Source organism: Homo sapiens, chromosome 10, assembly GCF_000001405.40.
Source record: "Homo sapiens chromosome 10, GRCh38.p14 Primary Assembly".
Lineage (NCBI taxonomy): Eukaryota > Metazoa > Chordata > Mammalia > Primates > Hominidae > Homo > Homo sapiens.
In genome coordinates, this window is record NC_000010.11 from 101,626,545 (window position 1) to 101,648,802 (window position 22,258).

The 22,258-nt window shown below is 45.5% G+C and overlaps 1 protein-coding gene across 3 annotated transcripts in view, besides 3 other annotated features; it reads right to left on the reverse strand.

Annotated features, from left to right (window-relative positions):
- Positions 1–22,258, reverse strand: part of FBXW4 (F-box and WD repeat domain containing 4) — an 84,630-nt gene that overhangs the window by 15,879 nt on the left and 46,493 nt on the right. The window lies entirely within an intron of this gene.
- Positions 16,601–17,447: an enhancer, noted in NCBI's record as "OCT4-NANOG-H3K27ac-H3K4me1 hESC enhancer chr10:103402902-103403748 (GRCh37/hg19 assembly coordinates)". NCBI's record gives its function as "activates a minimal SCP1, AML or CMV promoter by ChIP-STARR-seq in naive H9 embryonic stem cells {active_cell/tissue: H9 hESC(naive)}" and the evidence as "EXISTENCE:reporter gene assay evidence [ECO:0000049][PMID:30033119]".
- Positions 17,448–17,742: a silencer, noted in NCBI's record as "tiled region #8306; K562 Repressive non-DNase unmatched - State 24:Quies". NCBI's record gives its function as "represses a minimal TATA promoter and a strong SV40 promoter by Sharpr-MPRA in K562 cells {active_cell/tissue: K562}" and the evidence as "EXISTENCE:reporter gene assay evidence [ECO:0000049][PMID:27701403]".
- Positions 17,448–18,295: an enhancer, noted in NCBI's record as "OCT4-NANOG-H3K27ac-H3K4me1 hESC enhancer chr10:103403749-103404596 (GRCh37/hg19 assembly coordinates)". NCBI's record gives its function as "activates a minimal SCP1, AML or CMV promoter by ChIP-STARR-seq in naive and primed H9 embryonic stem cells {active_cell/tissue: H9 hESC(naive and primed)}" and the evidence as "EXISTENCE:reporter gene assay evidence [ECO:0000049][PMID:30033119]".

The window sequence follows — 22,258 nt, forward strand, 5'->3', positions numbered from 1 at the left end:
AGTGGTGCAATCTTGGCTCACTGCAACCTCCACCTCCTGGGTTCAAGCAGTTCCCCTGCCTCAGCCTCCCGAGTTGCTGGGACTACGGGCATGCACCACCACACCCAGCTAATTTTTGTATATTTAGTAGAGACAGGGTTTCACCATGCTCGCCAGTCTGGTCTCGATTTCTTGACCTCGTGATCCGCCCACCTTGGCCTCCGAAAGTGCTGGAATTACAGGCGTGAGCCAACGCGCCCGGCCAGGCATCTCTTAAGGCCTATGGCAGGCCTCTGACTGGCCACAGGCCTAAATTAGCATCAAGGTAAATCAATAGAGAGGGGAGCAACTTTAATCCTGCTGGAGATCAGAGCTGTGGGAGTGGCAGGGATGAGGGTGGTGTGGGGATGTAAATCCCCTTCCCAGGGACTCCTATCCTCCTCTATTCTGGCCCACCCACATCTGGCCCTGATCATCTGCCACCAGGAGGAGTGCCCCTCACCTTCATACCCTGTACAGGGCCTTTTTTTTTTTTTTTTTTTTAAATAGAGACAGGGGTCTCACTATGTTGCCCAGGCTGGTCTTGAGCTCCTGGGCTCAAGTTGATCCACCTGCCTCAGCCTCCCAAAGTGCTAGGATTACAGGTGTGAACCACTGGCGCTCAGCCTCCTGTGAAGTGCTTTCTTAACTGCCTAGATGTGACATCTATAAATGTTTCTTTCCAAAAGCTGCCCTTTTCTCTCACCTAACCACTATGAATCAAGGAGAAAAAAGAGGGAGAGAAAGCAGAGTGTCTTCCTGGCACTTAGGAGGACTTAAGAGTTTAATCAAATTTAACACTCAGTAAAAAACCATCAATAGTCAAGCAGATTTTGAGCAAACACTCACCAGGACTCACACCCAAACCATGGGGCCTGCCCAGGACTCTTGGGGGTCAGGCTGGGTGCAGACACAGTTTTGCACACCTTCAACTACTCCCCACTACCTGCAGCCATTCTTGCCCCCCACCCCACTCCCTTATTCCCATGGTCATTAGGAAGAATGAGCAAAAGCTACAGACCAGCCACACTCAAAGTCAGAAGATTAGAAAGGGCGTGCGCACATGCAATCTCAGGGTACAACAGATACAAGGAGCAGAGGAAGAAAAGGAATTCACTACTCTCCAGCACCCAAAGGGTGCTTCACATCTCACAATGAGCCCACAAGATAGATATTATTATTCCCATTGTGCAGAAAGTGAATATGAAGCAAAGGCCAAGCTTCCATGAATGGACTTAAAATACTGTGGCTGCACACAGGACCTGTTACCCCCACACTCAGACTCCTCCCTTGAGACTCACGGGATAAAGTGCTTTGAAAAGGGGCTGGTGGGGTGGGATCTGTGCATCACAGGCAGTCTCACTGGCCTCAGTTCTCTAACCCAGGTGATTTAACCCAAACAAAATGCTGTGCTCTGATAACCTGTTCGATTTGAATCCGCGAGATGTCTTCAACCAGATTCTCGTCACATCCCTCACGGTGCTGGCTCCTGTGCTAGGCGTGTCAAAGGCTCTCAATAAATACTTGGAGATCAATGAAATGAAAACGTGTATCATTCCCTCCGTGGCTCCTCCCAAGGGATTGCTCAGTGACTTTTCCCCACTAAAGGCCTTTGCTATAACTTCAATTTTGGGTTTGAAAGTGATGAAAAACCCAGCTCGGCTCAGAAAAGAAAGAAAATTCAAACGGCTTTTGCCCTCAGTCCCATCTCTTCCCTCAGGGGTATTCCAGGGACAAGGACATCAAATCTGTGCTGAACAGACAGAGGCAAGAGCTGGTGGCTCCCCAGGTAGGCTGACCATCCTTCTAGTCCTTTCCATACTCATGGGACAAATGGCATTTTTGGTTTATCTTCCCATCTCCCCTTTGAGATCAGAATCCTTTAGAGGCTCTTGGGTACTGTACTGTCTAGCACAGTGCCTGGCCCAGAGAAGGCACTCAATAAAAATTTGTGGAACTGAACTAAGAGGGCCTTCCAGAGCCCAAAGCCTACACAGCTGGGAAAGCTAGTCATGTGCACTGTGAAGTTGGTCCCTCTGCTTCCTAAAGGAATAATTCCCAAATACCAAAGGCTCAAACTTGAATGACACATGACACAGGCATACAGTATCAGGAGAGTGAGAAGTCCCTCATAAGCACCACAACCAGGTAAGAGATGAGAGGTACCAACACCTAAAAATTAACATCAAAACACACACAGTCAGGCACACTCATGCAAGTACACATATCCCCTCTTAGCTAGAGGGTCTAAAAGTCATTTTGACTCCATAAGCTCTTTTTGGAACAGAAAGCCCTTACCAGAAGCCAGCCTTCTATAATTTCTCACCCTGTCCCAGACATTAACCAGATCTTCAACCTGCCTTACTCGTCCCCTGGCCCTAGCTCAGGCAAACCTGGCATCATGCAGACTATCATCAGGCTCCAGAAGTAGACATAGGGGCCTGTCTCACCAGAGGAAGATGCCAGGGAGTTAGAGTTTGTGTATTCAAGTTGAGAGATTAAAAATAACAAGACATAGAAAAGAGGAAAGCAAGGTAAGAAGGGAAATTAGTTGGGCACGGACAGCCTGAAAGGCAGGTAGATTCCTCCTGCTTCTGCATTAGCTTAGGCCCTCTTAATAACACTAGTAATTTACTGAGCACTTACTATGTGCCAGGTGCTGAGCACATGTTTCAAAAGCATTATCCTATGTAATCCTCATAACACTATGCAGTAGGTACCACTTTCCCTTTTTTTTTTTGAGACAGAGTCTTGCTCTGTCGCCCAGGCTGGAGTGCAGTGGTGCAATCTCAGCTCATGCAACCTCTATCTCCCAGGTTCATGCCATTCTCCTGCCTCAGCACCCCCAGTAGCTGAGTTAACAGGTGCGCACCACCACGCCTGGCTAATTTTTGTATTTTTAGTAGAGAGAGGGTTTCCCCAGGTTGGCCAGGCTGGTCTCGAACTCCTGACCTCAAGTGATCCACCTACCTTGGCCTCGCAAAGTTCTGGGATTAGACGCATGAGCCACCGCACCCAGCCCCACTTTCCCTATTTTACACATGAGGAGACTGAGGCTTTGGGAGGTAATTAATTTGCTCTAGCTCACACAGGTAGCAACTAGTGGACTGGAATTGGAACCCAGTCAGTCTTGATTCCAGACCCAAGTTATTATACCACCCCTCGCCCAGAAGTTCTCATGTGGGCTACACTTCAAGAGTTAGTCTTGTTTGAATCTCCAGCATCTAGTATAATGCCTGACACATATTGAAAACTCAAATGCTTATTGATTGAATGAATGAATGAATGGACAAATGAACAAATGACTCCACCTGGAAGAAGAAAGAAGCAACTGAGTGGCTCTGAGGCAGGGCAGCACAAGTGGCGTGCTCAGCAGCTGTGCCCCGTGGCTGGCCTAGAGCCGCCCAGCTGGCCCAGGCCCCAGCAGCCTCTGAGCCTGGGCTGACACACTTTGGCAAGGGAGGCCACCAGAGCTGTCACATCATTCACCAACATGCCCATCAAGTGTATTCAGTTCTCTTCAACCCGCATTGGCATTTTAATTACTGTTGGGTAAACTAATTTGTACAAATGAAGGCCAGGCTGCCTAATAGAATATGCAAGCTCTCTGACCTCTGACAGGCACTGACACGAGATACAAAGGCAGCCGAGGAAGGCTTTTTATCTGAGCCTTATTACTCTCTATTACTCCAATTAGTCAGGCTCCAGTGCTCCTAATTGGAGGAAAAATTGCAATTAAATCAATTTTTGATGGGCTGCAAGTGGGCTCCCGAACCGCCCTGCTTGTGAAACACTGATATTATAGCAGCAAAGGTCACAGGCCTCATTGGCACCTGGGGGCCCCCCGATTTCCCTTGGCCCCCTCCTTAAATACCTCAAGGAAACCTCTGTCCCTCCATTGGCTCAGCCAGCAAGGGTAGGAAGGAGGGAGTCATTAGAACATGTCAGGTCTCATTGCTGCTGCCGCCATCTGCTAACCTCCGCCACTGACATCATTACAGCAGTAAGTCCCAAAGCATGAATACAGTGCGAAGGTCACAAAAACTCACTCGGTGAGGGGAAGCCAGGAGCATAGCTGCAGTGACAGCACTGTGAGGGAGAGACCAGTAGAGTGGGAACAGGAGGTCAACAGAAGTCAGGAAGGGGAAAGACACAGGCAGGGGGCAGGTGAAAGTGTGAGACAACCAGTTCCTAAGATCCAGCCAACAGGGCACCCTGGGTCACCAAAGGGATAAGGAAATAGATGTGATGGGAAGGGGAAAAAAACAGGCAAATCTTGTTATCTGTCCAGCAAACATCCCACCTTGCAGGTGGGGAAACATCCACCTGAATGCCCTCTAGAGCGCAGCTCCAGAAGCTGCTCGAGTCACATCTGTGATGAGTGGACAGGGCCATGCTTGTGGAACCTACCATCCACAGTGGCATCTGTTTCGAAAGAAGGAAGGGAGGCCCTAGGACCAAAGCTGCAAGACCAGGCAGGGGAAGATAAACACAACTTTTTTTTTTTATCAAACTAAAGCCGAATAAGAACAAGATGCCTAGCTAAAGCTTGAATTAATAAAGTTTAAAGCAAATAAAAAGAAGTTTCATTTCACACAGCAACTGGCATACCATTACCTCAAAGAGACAGTGCAGACAGAAAATTTAAATTCAAAAGCTTAGCCAACTTCACGGATGACTGAACCATAATGGGTTAATAGGGAAAGGAGGATATGCCTTGCCTTCAAGGGGTAAAGACCAAAGCATGTTAAATAAATGATGGTCCATCTACTTAATGGAATATTATACAGTCCTTTTAAATGATGTTCCCAAATAATACAAGCAAGAGACTTATGATATACTATTATAAGAGAAAAAAGCAGGGTACAAACAGCACTGTTACAACTACTAAAAAAAAGAGCCTATGCAGAGAAAAGGAAAGAGTGGAAGAAAACTAAAATGTTAAAAGTGATTGTGTCTGGGCAGTAGAATGATAAGCAATTCTTTCTTCTTTTAAATTTTCTTCATTTTCCAAATATTATTTAATGAGCATGTGCTGTTTTTTAAAGGGAAAAACACATTATTTACTTTTTTTTTTTTTTTTGAGACAGAGTCTCGCTCTGTCGCCTAGGCTGGAGTGCAGTGGCGCAATCTCGGCTCACTGCAACTTCCGTCTCCCAGGTTCAAGCAATTCTTCTGCCTCAGCCTCCCAAGTAGCTGGGAATATAGGCGCATGCCACCACGCCTGGCTAATTTTTTGTATTTTTAGTAGAGATGGGGTTTCGCCGTGTTAGCCAGGATGGTCTTGATCTCCTGACCTTGTGATCCACCCACCTTGGCCTCCCAAAGTGCTGGGATTATAGGCGTGAGCCACCGTGCCCAGCCATTATTTACATTTTATAAGAGAAAAGACAACATAACACTCCTGTCCATGACTCAGGGCCAAGGGCAGGCAGACCTGAAGGTGAGCGACCTGGTACAGCTAGTGTTAGCAACCATGGCCCTGGTACACCTTGCCCTGAAGTGATGGGACTGATCAGTAGCTTAAGGTTAGGCCAAGAAGCTCCAGATCAGAAGGGAGGTGCCCCACTGGCCTCTTTCTCCCAATTAGGCCACAGCTGGCAGAGGTCTGGGACACCTCTCCCAGTACACATACCACACATATTCTCTACACACACACACACACACGCAACCCTCTCTCAACCCAAGTGCATCAGGGCAGGATGGTGCAAGTAGGTGCCTAGGTCAGGCTCTGGATAGTGTCCAGAGGCTGGAGCTCTTACTGCTTGCTCCCTGCCCCCCAACTGCAACTCCAACAAATAAGGGCCAGCAAAGCAGGGTTTCTGCGGAGGAGTGCATTCCTACAGCCAGAGAATGCCTACAGAGAAACACAAAATGATTATTCTCTATTTTAACGAAGGGTACAAGGTCAGCCTAACCAAGGATAGGAGAGCCTAGCCCAGGCTAGACAAAAGGAAGCCTGAGGTTTCTGATTCACTCAAGAATCAGAAACTTATAAACTTGAGCAATGGGAGCACAGAATTAATAGAGAGGGGAAAAAATAAGGAAATAAAAAACAAAAACTCTCAGTACAGTGGAATAACATAAGTTCATTCATCCTATTGAATTTAATAAGGTGTTGGGAGCTGCAGGGAGAAGAGTTTCTAAACTGGATTTCCATCTACATGGCCCCTTAAACAACTGTTCCATGTGCTCCTAAAATAAAGAAATGGCAAGGTGTCCCTGTACTAAAGCAAAAACTGACCGGTTCAGACTTCCTGAGAAATGATGATACAATATTCACAAAATGAGGTACCCAACAAGAAGCATGCAAAAAGACAAGCTATACATGGTAATTACTTGCAGACAATATAATTGTCTGCCTAGAAAATCCAAAAGACTCAACCAAAAAACTATCACAATTAATACCAGGGTCAGATGAGGTAGCTGGCATGTTGCATACAACAGTAGAAAGGGGTGCAGGTGTGGACCCCTGGCTCTGCCACCTAGTAATCATGTGATCCAGAGTGAGTTATTCAACCTCTCTACAGCCCTGTTTCTTCTTCATAAGACAGAAATAGTAATAGTACCTAGGCATTGGCTTGTTATAAAAATTATATGGGAAGTATAAATTAGTTCAACCATTGTGGAAGACAGTGTGGCGATTCCTCAAGGATCTAGAACCAGAAATACCATTTGACCTAGCAATCCCATTACTGGGTATATACCCAAAGGATTATAAATCATTCTACTATAAAGGGGACATCAATGAAGCTGGAAACCATCATTCTCAGCAAACTAACACAAGAACAGAAAACCAAACACTGCATGTTCTCATAACTGGGAGCTGAACAATGAGAACACATGGACACAGGGAGGGGAACATCACACACCAGGGCCTGTTAGGGGGTAGTGGGTTAGGGGAGGGATAGCATTAGGAGAAATACCTAATGTAGATGATGGGTGGATGGGTACAGCAAACCATCATGGCACATGTACACCTATGTAACAAACCCGCACGTTCTGTACATGTACCCCAGAACTTAAAGTATAATAAAAAAAGATTATATGGGAAAAGATGCTTAGAACAGTATATACACATAGCACACACCCACGGATGTTAGTTATTATTATATACCAGCAATAACCAAGTGTTATTATATACCAGCAATAACCAAGTGTTATTATATACCAGCAATAACCAAGTGTTATTATATATCAGCAATAACAAACTGTTATTATATACTAGCAATAACCAATTGCAACCAAAATGTAATTAAAAATCCAGGCTGGGCGTGGTGGCTTACACCTGTAATCCCAGCACTTTAGGAGGCTGAGGGGGGTGGATCACCCAAGTTCAGGAGTTCAGCCTGGTCCAACATGGTGAAACCCTGTCTCTACTAAAAAATATATATATATAAATTAGCCAGGCGTGGTGGTGGGCACCTGTAATCTCAGCTACTCAGGAGGCTGAGGCAGGAGAATCACTTGAAACTGGGAGAGGGAGGTTGTAGTGAGCCAAGATCGCACCACTGCACTCCAGCCTGGGTAACAGAGCAAGACTCCGTCTCAAAAAATAAATAAATAAAATAAAAATAAAATAAAAATCCATTCATGAAAAGAATTTAAAAACTGTAGAATATCTAAGAATAAATCTAACAAAAAAAACAAGAGAAAAATGAACAAATAAACAAAAATCACTAGAAAAGATCCATATAAAAATATAAAACTTTACTAAAGAAAATAGAATTGTTGAATAAGTTTGGAAACATCATATTCCCAGATGTGAAATCCTGATTATAAAACTGTCAGTTCTCCCCCAATTAATCTATAAATTCAATACAGTCCCATCTACACAAGATTTTTACTTAATCAATTGATTCTAAAATTCATCTAGAAGAGGAAAACCACAAGAATAACCCAGAAATATCTGAAAAAGAACAATAAGAAAGAAGTTGTTCTACCGGATCAAAACATACTTTGTATGATATTCATGCTGAAATAGGTGAATAGATCAGTGGATCAGAATAACGAATCCAAAGCCACACCTATCTACTTGTAGAAAATCAATAGATCCTAAGTGTGGTCTTTAAGAGAGTAAAGAATGAACTAATCAATAAATGGTATAGGGTCCACTGAATACACATTTGAAAAAAAAAATTAGAAGCCTACCTCCCAGCAGATATCAATCTCAGATGGATTAAGGAGATAAACATTTTTAAACTGTATGAAAACCCATAAAGGTCTAAGAAAAAAATATAGGAAAATAGTTTTATAATCTTGGAAAGACATTCTTAAGATAAACACAAAATTCTGAAGCCATGAAGGTAGTGATCAGACAGACCTAACCTACAAATAACAAAAACTTCTACACAACAGAAGACATCAAAAACAACAAGCTGAAAGGAATTACCATATACAGCAGGGGTCTCCAACCCCCAGGCCACAGACCTGTACCAGTCCATGGCCTGTTAGCAACCAGGACGCACAGTAGGAGGTAAGTGGTGGGCAAGCAAACTTCAACTGAATTTACAGCCACTTCCCATCACTGGCATTACCACCTTGAGTTCCACCTCCTGTTAGATCAGGGGTAGCATTAGATTCTCATAGGAGCACAAACCCTATTGTGAACTGCACATGCAAGGGATCTAGATTGTGGCTCCTTTTGAAAATCTAATGCCTGAGGATCTGTCACTGTCTCTCATCACCCCCAGATAGGACCATTTAGTTGCATGAAAACAAGCTCAAGGCTCCCACTGATTCTACATTATGGTGAGTTGTATAATTATTTCATTATATATTACAATATAATAATAATAGAAATAAAGTACACAATAAATGTAATGCACTTGAATCATCCCAAACCCTGACTCACCCCCCTCCCACCCCCGAGGCTATGGAAAAATTGAAAACTGTCTTCCATGAAACCAGTCCCTGGTGCCAAATATGTTGGGGACTGCTGATATATAGTCAAAAGATTAATACTGAGAATATTAAAAGAGGTGATGGGAGGCCAGAAGTGGTGGCTCATGCCTGTAATCTCAGCATTTTGGGAGGCCAAGGCAGGCAGATTGCTTGAGCCCAGGAGTTCAAGACAAGCCTGGGCAACAAAGTAAGACCCTGTCTTTACAAAATATGAAAAAAATTAGCTGAGTGTGGTGGCATGCACCTTTAGTTCCAATTACACAGGAGGGTGAGGTGGGAGGATCTGATCCCTTGAGCCCAGGAGGTCAAGGCTGCAGTGAGTTATGATTACACCACTGTACTCCAACCTGGGCAACAGAGCAAGACCCGGTCTCAGAAAAAAAAAAAAAAAGAGAGATGGAGGGGCACCCCTCCAGCATCCTGCCTTGGAGCCCACTTCCTCCCTACCCTGGGGGGGCGGGCGGAGGGAAGAGCGATCTTATAAATCACAGGCAAAAAGGTAGATAAATGAGTGAAAACTTGAACAAGTAATTTATGAAAAAATATACATGGCCAAATACATATGAAATAATGTTAAGCCTCTAGTAAGAATTGCAAATTAGGCCAGGCGTGGTGGTTCACACCTGTAATCCCAGCATTTTGGGAGGCTGAGGTGGGCGGATCAGTTGAGGTCAGGAGTTCGAGACCAGCCTGGCCAACATGGTGAAACCCCATCTCTGCTAAAAATACAAAAAAAGAAAATTAGCTGGGGGTGGTGGCGTGCACCACCTAACTACTCAGGAGGCTGAGACAGGAGAATTGCTTGAACCCAGGAGGCAAAGGTTGTGGTGAGCCAAGATTGAGATTGAGCCACTGCACTCCAGCCTGGGTGAGAGAGCAAGACTCCATCTCAAAAAAAGAACCAAAAAACAAAAACAAAACAAAACAACGGAAAAAAAAAAAACAAAAAAGAATTGCAAATTAGAGAAAAAACAAAGATAATTACAAACACACATAGTATTTAATGTGTGCCCAAGTGCTGTTCTAAGCACTTTCTATCAATTAGTTCACTTAACCCTCAAGACATTCCTACATATTTGATAATATTTTTCTAGGTATGATAATGGTATTATGATTACTATCTTTTTTTTTTTTTTTAAAGATGGAGTCTCGCTCTTGTTGCCCAGGCTGGAGTGTAATGGTGCAATCTCGGCTCTCTGCAACCTCTGCCTCCCGGAATCAAGCAATTCTTCTGCCCCAGCCTCCTGAGTAGCTGGGATTACAGGTGCCTGCCACCACACCTGGCTAATTTTTTGTGTTTTTAGTAGAGACGGGGTTTCACCATGTTGGTCAGGCTGGTCCCGAACTCCTGACCTCAGGTGATCCACCTGCTTCGGCCTCCCAAAGTGCTGGGATTACAGGCATGAGCCACTGCACCCAGCCCAGGATTACATTTAAAAAGTATCACTATCTTTTAGAGTACAGACTGAAATATTTATAGATGAAATTGTATGTCTGATATTTGCTTCAAAATAATATGGGACGGGAAAGTGTGTAGGGATTAATGGAGCAAGGTTAGCCAAGAGTTGGTAATTATTCTACTTTTGTATATTTTGAAAATTTCCGTTATAAAAACATTTTTAAAAAGCCACCATGGGCCGGGCACGGTGGCTCACATTTGCAATCCCAGCACTTTGGGAGGCTGAGGCGGGCGGATCACGAGGTCAGGAGATCAAGACCATCCTGGCTAACATGGTGAAACCCCATCTCTACTAAAAATACAAAAAAAAAAAAAAATTAGCTGGGCGTGGTGGTGGGCACCTGTAGTCCCAGCTACTTGGGAGGCTGAGGCAGGAGAATGGTGTGAACCTGGGAGGCGGAGCTTGCAGTGAGCCGAGATCGTGCCACTGCACTCCAGCCTGGGCGACAGAGTGAGACTCCGTCTCAAAAAAAAAAAAAAAAAAAAAAAAAGCCACCATGAGCCAGGCATAGTGGCTCATGCCTGTAATCCCAGCACTTTGGGAGACCAAGGCGGGCAGATCACTTGAGGCTAGGAGTTCAAGACCAGTGTGGCCAACATGGTGAAACCCCATCTCTACTAAAAATACAAAAATTAGCCAGGTGTGGTGGTGCATGCCTGTAATCCCATCTACTTGGGAAGCTGAGGCATGAGAATTGTGGGAGGCAGAGGTTGCAGTGAGCCAAGATCATGGCACTGTACTCCAGCCTGGGTGACAAAGCAAGATCCTGTCTCAAAAAAAAAAAAAAAAAAAAAAAGGTCACTATGAGGTTTGTATAGCCAAAATTACCCTCCTCCTTTTAGAGATAAGGAAGATGAGGAATAGAGAGGTAACTCACCAACATTACACAGCTAGTAGGAAAGGGACTGATGATTTGACCCCAGCCGTGTGGTCTGCAAAGTCGACCCCGTAATCACTATTTTATACTCACTCCCCAAATTAAATATCATTTTTTACCTATCAGAGTGGCAAAATTTTTCAAAAAACGGATATTACCCAGTACTGATAAGAGGAAATGGGTAATTGTACACACTGTTTGCGGGTATAGAACCTGATACGGTCTAACTGGAAGGCAATGTGGTGGTGTCTAAAAACTTTTTGGTGCGCTTCCTCCTCAATCCAGCATGATCTTTCTAAGTGTCTTTCCTGGAAAGATACCTGACCATATGTAAAAATAGGCAAGTACACAGATGTTTCCCAAAGGACTGTTTGTAACAGCAAGACACTGGAAATAACCTACGTGTCCATCAGTAGAAGGATGGTTACAAACTGTGGTTTGTAAGGCGTGGAACTAGAATGCTGCAGTCAAAAAGAACATGGTAGGATGGGGTGCTCTGACATGAAAGGACCTCCAAGCCTCGTAGGGAGATGAGAAATTCAAGCTGCAGAACAAATGTATAATGTGAGCCTAAAACAAAGCAGAACCATATATCTATATATGTACACATATTGATGAAACTATATGATATCTGCTATTTGCTTCAAATGAAAAGATCTGGAATGACACATACTGGATGTCCTGCAAAAAAAAAAAAAAAAGAGTAGGATAACGGGAGGGGACACAGGTCACTGAAGGAGATTTTTCCTTTCTATTCTATATATTTTAAATTGTTTGAATTTTTACAATTAGAACATATTTATGTATCACTTATGTATAAAACAACAAAACAGAAATTAAGAAATTAAAAGAATGGTAATCAAAATACTCATTTTGAAGTTACCTGAAAGATGTGTTGCATATTAGTAGCACACTGAATTAAATGTGATTCTGATTATTGCACAAACCACATGATATCTTGGCTCCATCCGGGACTTGACAGAGACCCTTTACCTCGATGGCTTTCTGAGTGGTGAAAGCCTGGGAACAGCTGCCTATGAGAATTCCAGTTTTCCGGCAGCTCTGACAGTGCTTTCCCCCAAACTTCTGCTTCATAACCACTCTGTTTGTAAAGAGATGCTATGCGTCATGAATTATACACAGTAGGACTACAGAAGTAGGATCCATGACAATAAGAGCTACTGTATCTATGTACACAATAGGTAAAGCCTATCCCTCACAAGAAAGGAGTGCTCCATTTGTAGAGGAGTGCCAGCAGCAAGCCCTGGTGCACGTGTCAACTCCCTGCAGTTTAATCCCAAATCATGCAGCTTGCTAATCATTTTCCTTTGGAGGAAGCCTGGGCAGGCCAGACCTGTGCCATCCCAGGACTTGGTTCCAGTCTCTCTCTGCCCCTCAGGGAGGGTGCTAGGCCACTGCTCATTCATACAACCTCAGGTGTCTGCAACCAGGTTCTTTCTCTGTGCATGTCACATTAGAATATGGCGGGTTTTGCTAAGGACACCATCAACAGCTTACAAAGGAGGAATCCTTATTTGCTGACTAGTAATAATGTGAGGGGGAGGAGGTCAAAGGCTGTACAACAGTTCCTATCAGACTCTTCACTTTGTTTAAGAGTTGGTAGCCAAGGTCTCTGAGCTCAGTCACCATTCACATAGACACTTTGGGACTGGACATCATGGAGTCATTTGGCCTTTATCCAACTAGTAGACACCTATTGTTCTGTGTGCCCACATTCTCCCTCCATATATGTGATTCCTGAGAGATCCACCATGTTCTTACATGACTTTCCCTCCCTGGCCACAGTTAATTAATCAAGAGATGCGCAGCTGACCCAAAACTGGCCTGGGATTTTTGGAAGCCAGTCACTCTCTCTGATTTAAGCCATGAGCTGCCAAACTCAGGAGCACTTGGCAGCCTCATGGAATAAGCTGGTCAGCTTGGAGAAAGGAAGGAGCTAAGAACCATAAAGAAAGAGATGAGCACCCCAGAAGGATAAAGCCATGGCAGCACTATGGCCTCTGGTTCAGCTAGTCCCAAGGGTGTATTTCAGTTCTGCCTTTGGCTTGGTTTTTCACCTTTTCCCTTGGATTTCATGAGCCAAATATTCTGTTTTATTTATGTGAATTTGAATTTGGTTTCTGTCACTTACAATAAATGTGTCCTGAGTAATATAGAGCCTCTGTTCAGTAACTGCTCGGCTTCTCACCCAACTGAATGTCCTCACTGAGAGATGAGCAAAGGGCTTTGCCAGGCCTCTACTGGACACCTTGGGGCCTAAGAAGATACTTCAACCACAAAATTAATACCTGGTAGGTCTTCTAGGAGAGCAGATGAAACAGAACCACACAGGCTGGCCTGGAACTTCAGAAAGGAGATGAGGTGTTCTCTTATACCAATGCCTAAGAACAGTGCCAGGAAAAATCTACCTGCCCACTCCCAGTAGGGGGTGAGGAGATGGTCTGGACAACAGAAAATAACAAGGATGCTGCTTGAGGGATGGGAGTCTAGTCTTCAAGGGACAAGGCCCTGATCTTCAGAGATTTGGTCCCTTGAATCCCTTTTTATGGACTGATGAGACTGAATGTTCTACTGGAAACCACATGACTCATTCTAATGGGGCAGAGTTTGGTTTACTCTCAAACCCTTCCATTTTCTTTTCTTTTCTTTCTTTCTTTCTCTTTTTTTTTTTTTTTTTTTTTTTGAGAGAGAGAGTCTCACTCTGTTGCCCAGGCTGGAGTGCAGTGGCATGATCTTGGCTCACTGCAACCTCTGCTTCCTGGGTTCAAGCGATTCTTGTGTCTTAGCCTCCCAAATAGATGGGATTACAGGCATGTGCTACCATCCCCAGCTAATTTTTTTTTTTTTTTTTAAGTAGAGATTGGGTTTTGCTGTATTGGTCTCAAATGGTCTCAAACTCCTGGCTGGTCTCACGCTCCTGGCCTCAAGTGATCCACCTGCCTCGGCCTCCCAAAGTGTTGGGATTACAGGTATGAGCCACCCTGCCCAACCTAGACTCTTCCTTCCCCCACCCCCGCCTTTTTTGAGACCAAGTCTCACTCTGTCGCTCAGGCTGGAGTACAATGGTGTGATCTTGGCTCACTGCAACCTCCACCTCCCAGGTTCAAGCAATTCTTCTGCCTCAGCCTCCCGAGTAGCTGGGATTACTGGCACCCGCCACCACACCCAGCTAATTTTTGTATTTTTAGTAGAGATGGGGTTTCACCATGTTGGCCAGGCTGGTGTCGAACTCCTGACCTCAGGTGATCCACCCACCTCGGCCTCCCAAAGTGCTGGGATTACAGGCATGAGCCACCGCGCCCAGCCAACCCTTCCATTTTCAACAACCATAATGCCAGGCATTTAAGAGATAGATAATTTAAATATATTTTCCACGTATTCATCTAATTTTAATTAAAAGCATGCACAATTGGATAGGAGAATCTTTGAGGGGGAAAAAAGGAAAAAAAGCATGCATAAAATAATTAAGATGGTGATGGAAAACACAGGGGTTAATTTTACTATTTTTCTCTTTATCTTTGAAAATTTTCAGAATTAAAGTTTAAAAATACACATCCACAATCAAAACCAATTGACTGTGATCTTTCTTTGTAACCCCAAGCAACTCCTTTGTTACAACTTCTTTTATCTCTTCTCCACCCTGACCTGGTACAAATGACCCAAAAACTAAGGGAAAAATAAATCTGACTATAGGAGCAAACTCAAATATTCTACTTCTGAATCCCTCTGAGTGACATGTGCACACAAACACAAAACACAAGAGAAACCAAGCAGAAAATTCACATAGTGCATGTAAGATTTTTTCTCAAAAAAAAACAAAACAATACACATACACCTTAAGTGTGTCCCCCCAAACCCTCTCACTCTCTTTTTTTTTAATGAACCTGGCCCCAGATCAGAAAGACATTTGAAGTTGTAAATCAGAAATTAGGTACGAGGAAACCAAAGCTTATTTATGGAAAATCACATTATTGTGTATCAAAATAATATATGAGATGTTACATAAGAACTCTATAAACATATCACTGTATAGTATATCAATAGACACACATGTGGCCAGGCACAGGCACAGTGGTTCACACTAGTAATCTCAGCACTTTGGGAGGCTGAGGCGGGTGGGTCACCTGAGGTCAGGAGTTTGAGACCAGCCTTATCAACATGGTGAAACCCCGTCTCTACTAAAATTACAAAATTAGCCATAAGTGGTGGCACACGCCTGTGATCTCAACTGCTTGGGAGGCTGAGGCAGGAGAAATGCTTGAACCTGAGAGGCAGAGGTTGCAGTGAGCCGAGACTGTGCCATTGCACTCCAGCTTGGGCAACAGAGTGAGACTCTATCTCAAAAAAGTAAAATAAAATAAAATAGTCCACACATGTGTATGTGTTTAGGATATATGTCTATGAATATATACACATTTAAAAATTGAAGCAAAACATGACAAGTGGCCAGGCACAGTGGCTCACATCTGTAATCCTAGCACTTTGGGAAGCCGAGGCAGGAGGATTGCTTGAGGCCAAGAGTTCAAGACCAACCTGGCCAACATAGCGGGACCCTATCTCTATTTTTTTTTTTAATTAAAAAAAAAACATGACAAGTATCTGAGCCTCAGGTTCCTCTGAAGTCCCATCTCCTTACAGGCAGCCACTATGCAGAGCCTGCCACAGTGAGCTGCCCCTTCCTGCTCCTCTCCAAGCTACAACACCCCTCTGGGACTTCCAAATTCCAAGCAGCTCTTACTCTCTATAAAACCTCCCCTCCATCCTCCTGCTCAGGACTTTGTCAACAGCCCACACACCTCCCCACTGCCAGTCTGTAGGCACCAAATTCTACCTCTGAAGCCTCCTTGGTAGGCAAATAACACAGCATATTTGCTTTCTGGGAAAAGTCTGCCCCTCGATGTTTAATTTCACCTCTTTGGAACATTGGAATAAAGGCCAAACACATCATGAGCCACAGGGGAGCACTGGGGCCAGGGCAGTGCCTGAATCAATGCCATGCCCACCATCAGCGCCACCAGGCCCTCCTTTAAAGTGCCAAGATTTAGGGCAGGGCTGGGCGTGATGCCTACACTACCTGTGATCTGGGGGTACGCACATACATACATACCTGTAAACTACCAAATTATAGACTACTGATGCACAGGTCAACTTCCCTCCCTGCCATCCTCCCCAAATAATATAAAATAAGGTCACCTTATCTTTCCAACTTGTGCTACTCCTCAGAAATAGGAGAAGGCAGGGCTTTGCCAACAGGAGACTCTCATGAGCCACATCAGCCAAACTAGAGACCAAGAAAGCATGTGTCCGCCCAGGCCACTGATTCCTTTACTGCTGAGTCTCCACACCTCACCTCATCCAAACAACATGGGAGCAAGATTGTAATGATTAGCGTATCTACCCTTCAATTCCCCACACATCACTCCTAGCCCAGGCCCAGTAGGTGGCTGCTGGCCATTGAGCCTTCAGTTGCCAACTGTCCAAGGTGGAAAGCTGTGCTATGGCTCAACTCCCAGGTGCTGGGATTTGGCCCCTGGGAAGAGAGAGAACATGGGCCTAGTCACAGCCTTGGGAAGAGGTACATGCCCTCTGGGTTGTCCTGACCTTGCCATCCTTTGCTGAGAAGGCACACACACACATACATGCAGCCGCGTTTGCTCCCTTCGGTAAGAGGGCACCCAGGATGCCGCAGGCATATGCACGCTTTGCATTACATCTCCACTTGTGCTAAGGAGCAGATAGCGGTCTGTGGGCACACATGTCCCACACAAGGAAACTCCACACAGATCCTGTAGACACACTGTGCCCACAGGGGTCTCTTTACCTAAACTTACTGGGCAGTTGTGATTTTGCACTAGCCCAGGTGTTAAGCCCCTGCAGTTTTCTCCCCCTTAGGCCAGTCTCTGTCCCTCCCTCTTCCCTCCCACGGTAAGTGCTTTCAGGCCACACAATGAGTGGAAGGAGGAGAAACACTTCTATTGAGGAAGGCGTTTTGTTGTTTCATCCCTAAGGGGGCCTGGGGTAGGGAAGTGGGGGGGCCCACAAAATTTCTAATAAGCAGTTTCTCTCCTCAAAGCTAAAATGATTTTCTTTAATTGCTTGGTGGGAACAGTTTATTGTGGGGGTCTCTGCCCTCCCCGCAAAGCCTAATTGACTTACTGAAGTTTAACAGGGGCTTTCACCTGGAGAGACTGCAATTATTCCCCCCATCCCACATTCGTACCTGGGCTCTCCCCACAGGGGGCCTTTGTTCCCCCTAAATACAGCAGTGACACAAATGTCCTCAGCAGCAGGGGAACACAGGGAAATGGTAATTTTCAGCCCAACTCAATTAGCTGAGGGCTTTTCAGCCTTTCCAGTGAATGGTGGGGAAACTTTGGCATGTGGGAACGGTGAGCTGGAGCTGCTCTGTGCAAGCCAAACAAAAGAGGACTCTGAATTGGGCCCCGTGGTGAGCCAGAGCAGGACTGGTGGGGGCAGCTGGGACTGGGGCCTGGGCAAGGGAAAGAAGGTGCTGCCATCTATTACCTACATTGTCATCCTCCCAATCTGCATCTTCCAAACAGGGTCAGTAGGCCAAATAGCTTTCTGGGAAGTGGAGACACTCAAGACAATTGACTTGTACTTAGCACCACAGCCCTGCATTTATGAAGCAAGGAATAGGAAAAAGATGGCAAACTGAACCTGAGCAGCCATGGGCCAAGGGAGGTGGCTATGCAGCAGGGTGGCCACAGTGCTGGATCTGCTCTGCTCTCTCCAGAGGGCCTGGGGCTGGAGCTCACATCATATTTTGGGCCTTCATGGGCAACTCAGTCAGGAAGCTTCAGGGAAAAAGATTCTCCCAGAAATGCCACAGACCTTTCAGAGCCCTGTCTAGAAACTCCAAAACCAGGCACTCTCCAATGCTACTCTGCTAATAACATTATGATCCAGCAGAACCCAGGACTGATGAAAAGGTACACAGCTGAGCTGCCCATAGCACAGGCCACTGCTCTACAGCCCTGCCCTCCAGTCATGCCAACAAAAATGAGATCATACCCCCATTTGCCACCCAAAACCTCACCACATACAGAGGAGTCTCTGACAGCCTAGGTGAGCTATATTCAGGGGCAATCATGGCCATGGGCTGTAGGAGCAGTTTGGCACATGGTTTGTAGGTGGTGGTCAGGTCACACTTTTTGCCTGTTTGCTCGGCATTGAGATCTAGCCATGAAAACTACTGCACTATGATGTGCTACCCCAGCCTGCTCCTTCAATGGCCTGGGCTGGCTGCTAAGAACTACTGTCCACACCCTCACCCCCACCTCAAGCCTTTGCAAGAGTTTCAGAGTCATTCTCTATAGCAGAATCTACAAAGAAAAGGGTGGCTAGTCTCAATACCCACAGTTCAGATGTGAAGCCAGACCCTGCCCTGACACCCCTGCGGCATGGAACAGCCTCTTCTTTTTGGGGGGAAGCCCAGTCCAACAACCTGCCTGAGACAAGCAGGCCTACAAGATGAGAGGCCCATGAAGATTCATGAAACGGTTTGCTCAGAACAACTGGCTTGGCTCCCCAGTCCCATTTGGCCTGGATTCTGTCTTCCCATCTTCCTGTGCCCCTGTGTCAGTCCTGTGTCTCACTTGTACAGGACACCCTCTCCCCGTCACCTTTTCCTCAGACACACACAGGCTGCCTCCCTGGGACAAATGGAAGGTCCTGCTCTGGGACTCATCACCCCTTTCACAAAACAAGATTTTGCCTGGGCAATCCCTGAGCGGGGAACAGACAAAGACAGGGCTTCATTCCTTCAATAAGTACCCAGGGGTTCCCCAAGCCAGCCTTGTGATAGACGCTGGGGTGTTCAAGAAAAACCAAATTCATATAGGCTTGCCCTTAGGCAGCTTAAGGTCCAACCAGAGAATCAAGTCTTGAATTCATTTTTTTTAAAGTTGGAAACAATTCAAGATAATCAACAAGTTCTAATTCCAAATGAGAGAGCTCAGCACAGGACAGGCAAGCAGACAGAGTAGCACGGAAGTGAAAAAGCATGACCTTTGGAGTCAGATGCCAGGACTCCAACACTGGCTGTGTTGGCTATGAGAGATGTGACTCTGGCTGTTTAGTTAGCCTCTCTTGGGTCTCAGTTTCCTTTTGTAAACTGAGGATGATGATGGTACCTATCTGGGGGGATTAAATAAGGTATAAAGTGGTCAGCATAGTGCCTGGCACTTCATCAGCACTCTACAAGTGCTAATCACTCTTGTCATTATTGTGATCATCACTGGCCAGGCCATAGAGCATCAATTGGGATTCTTGATCAAGGAAATGGCCTAGTAAAGGGAACCTATACTGTTCCCCTGCAGTATGGGGTAAGAAGTGAGGCCTTGGGTCCCCTGTCCCTATTCTATTCTGTAGACCACTTTAGAAAGCTACAGTCAAGGCTAATGACAGACAGGACAAATTTAACCTGGCCAGGGCCTCAGGAGATTCTGAGCCAACCAGGGGCCTTAAAGGGGCAGACTGGAATTTGAGCCCCCTCAAACTGACCACAGCCCCCTTAGCTGTCTCCCAACCCTCACTCCCTACCATTAGCCTGCTGGCTGAAATGCAGGGGTCCCTGTGCCAGAAGGCCCAGGCTAGGCAGGAGGCCGAGAGGCACAGGTGGTTCTCAGAGGAGATCCCTGGGCTCCAGAAAGCATTTCCCCCACAGGAGCAACAAAGCCGGGGCTTGTTGCTGGTCAAGGCGCCTTTGCTTGCTTGGGCTGGGGCCCAGACTGTGAGGCAGCCGGGAAGGCCAGGGGACGCAGAGCTGGGAGGGGCAGCGGCCAGCCCTTTTGGCACCAGCTTCCTTCTTCCCTGGGTTTCTCACTTTGTTCAGCACAGTAACCCAAAGGAGGCTGGAGAGAGCACTTTTCACTACCCAGCAAATAAAGCCACAGGGAGAGGGAGAAGGATGAAAGGTTTGGGGGTTTTACATTTTGGTTCTGGGGTATTTAGTTGGTTTGAAAAAATAATCCAATTAATTTCAAACCCAGGACTTAGATCATAAATAGCCTACAGTGATCCCACAGCTTCTAATACCCATTATTCCTCTTCTGAGATTTAAAGTCCCAGTGGAGCCGGAGTTGGTCTCAAGAGGCTGGAGGGAGGTTTTCTATCGCCTGGCGGGGTGGGTGGTGGTGGTTAGGAATGGGGTGCAAGCATGGCTTCAGTCAGCGATACCACAAAACTCTAGGACCTCAAGTTCCCCAAGTCTTCACACACCCATGCAGTACTGCTAGTCATGTGTATGTCTGGCTTTCCCAATGGAGGCTGCCAGAACCCACTTATTCTCAAGAATCATGTTTTCTGGGTCCCAGGCCTGGGCAGGGATGCCTACAATGTGAGGAGATTCCAATGGTGACCTTAATTTATCTGTTCCTCTCATTAGTTCTAGGGAATGGATCTCTCACCCACAGGTCGTTCTGCCCCCATCAGCTCTTTTCCACCAGGCCTCAGAGTGCTGACCCTGTACCTTCCTTGGGTGACTACCACCTTAGAGAGATGAGGGGAGGAACTACTTGCTGGGTAGTTCTTTGAAGTAGGAGAGTTTTACACATAGGCACTTAAGGAGTTGCTAAAGCCTGGGAATCCCTTCCCTAGGCAGCTGCCTGCCCATCCCATCCAACCTCAAGTGTAGTTCCACCCACTCACACCACACCAACACTTGCTTTGGAATCGATTTTTTTTCCCCCAATGGCATGTTTTTGTCTTGCATTTCTGAAATCCCAAACTGTAAAACCATGAAGATTTTTCTCTTTGGAAAAATAGTAGGACACCAAAAAATGACCAAAAAGTCATTTCATTGGAAGCTTCCTTTCTTTCCCACTAAGCCACTTGGGATGGGATACAAACCTTTCAGAAGAATGATAAGAAAGGTCACAAATTTGCAAATACACTTGACAGTGGTATATATTCCTGATTTAATGGCTGGGTGACCCATCTTACTTCAGGCTTTCATTTCTCCACAGTACCTGTGCCAGGTGCTAGACAACTGCTAGCTGCTGACTTGAGGTACCTGCAAGTCCAGTTACTAGAGAAAACCAACTTCCCATCCCACCCCCAATATTCTGCTATCCCTCTGTGGAAAAGCCAAAGAGCTTAGACCCTGATGATAACTTGCTCGGAATCTGCAGGGAGGGAGATAAAAATGAGCTGCCTCCTATAGGTGCTCAGTGAGTTCATAAATCACAGGTCACCCAATCATCAGGGAGGTCCCTGTCCACTAGGCAAAGGGATTAGGCCTCCATTAGGGATGAGGTCTACCAACCAGAAGAAGATATCCTGCGATTTGGGTTTTTTTGTTTGTTTGTTTTTTCCTGTTTTTATCCTGTATATTTAAAGTCCTAGGTACCTCAGGAAGGTTGGACTAAGCATAGACTTGTAGTGAAAGCAAAGGACAGGTTGGGAGGAAAAAAGCAAAAATTCTGGGCCTTTGATGAAGTCACAACAAGCATTGATTTGAGATGATTGAGATTTTCTACCCCCTGCTCTTGGGTATAAACTCTCCCATCACAAAACAGTATCTTTTCTCAGCTTTCCTGAGAACACTAAATACCAGATGATTTGATTGACTAGACAGAACTTAGGTAAGTCACTTCCTTGAGCAAGCACCCTGGATCAGAGTTTTCTGGGGACTGATTATACTTTGAACATGAGCTCCGGGGCTGCAGCAGTGGCAACAGGAAAAGGAGTCAGAACTGTACAGCCAAGTTCATTATCTCAGTCGATAATCTTTCATGGACAGAACCAGCGCCTTGCCTGGACAGAAGTTAATGTGCATCCAACCAGGCCCAATTAAGGCCACACTCACCCCAGCCTTTCCCCGGCCCATGAGGAGAAGATCCTGTGTATGCTGGAAAACAAGTTTTGTCAGACCTTTACCCTGTGTCTGCATTCCACCATTTTACCCTTTTAATACAAAAGTTAAAATAGTCAAATATCAGATCTCCCAGAAAGT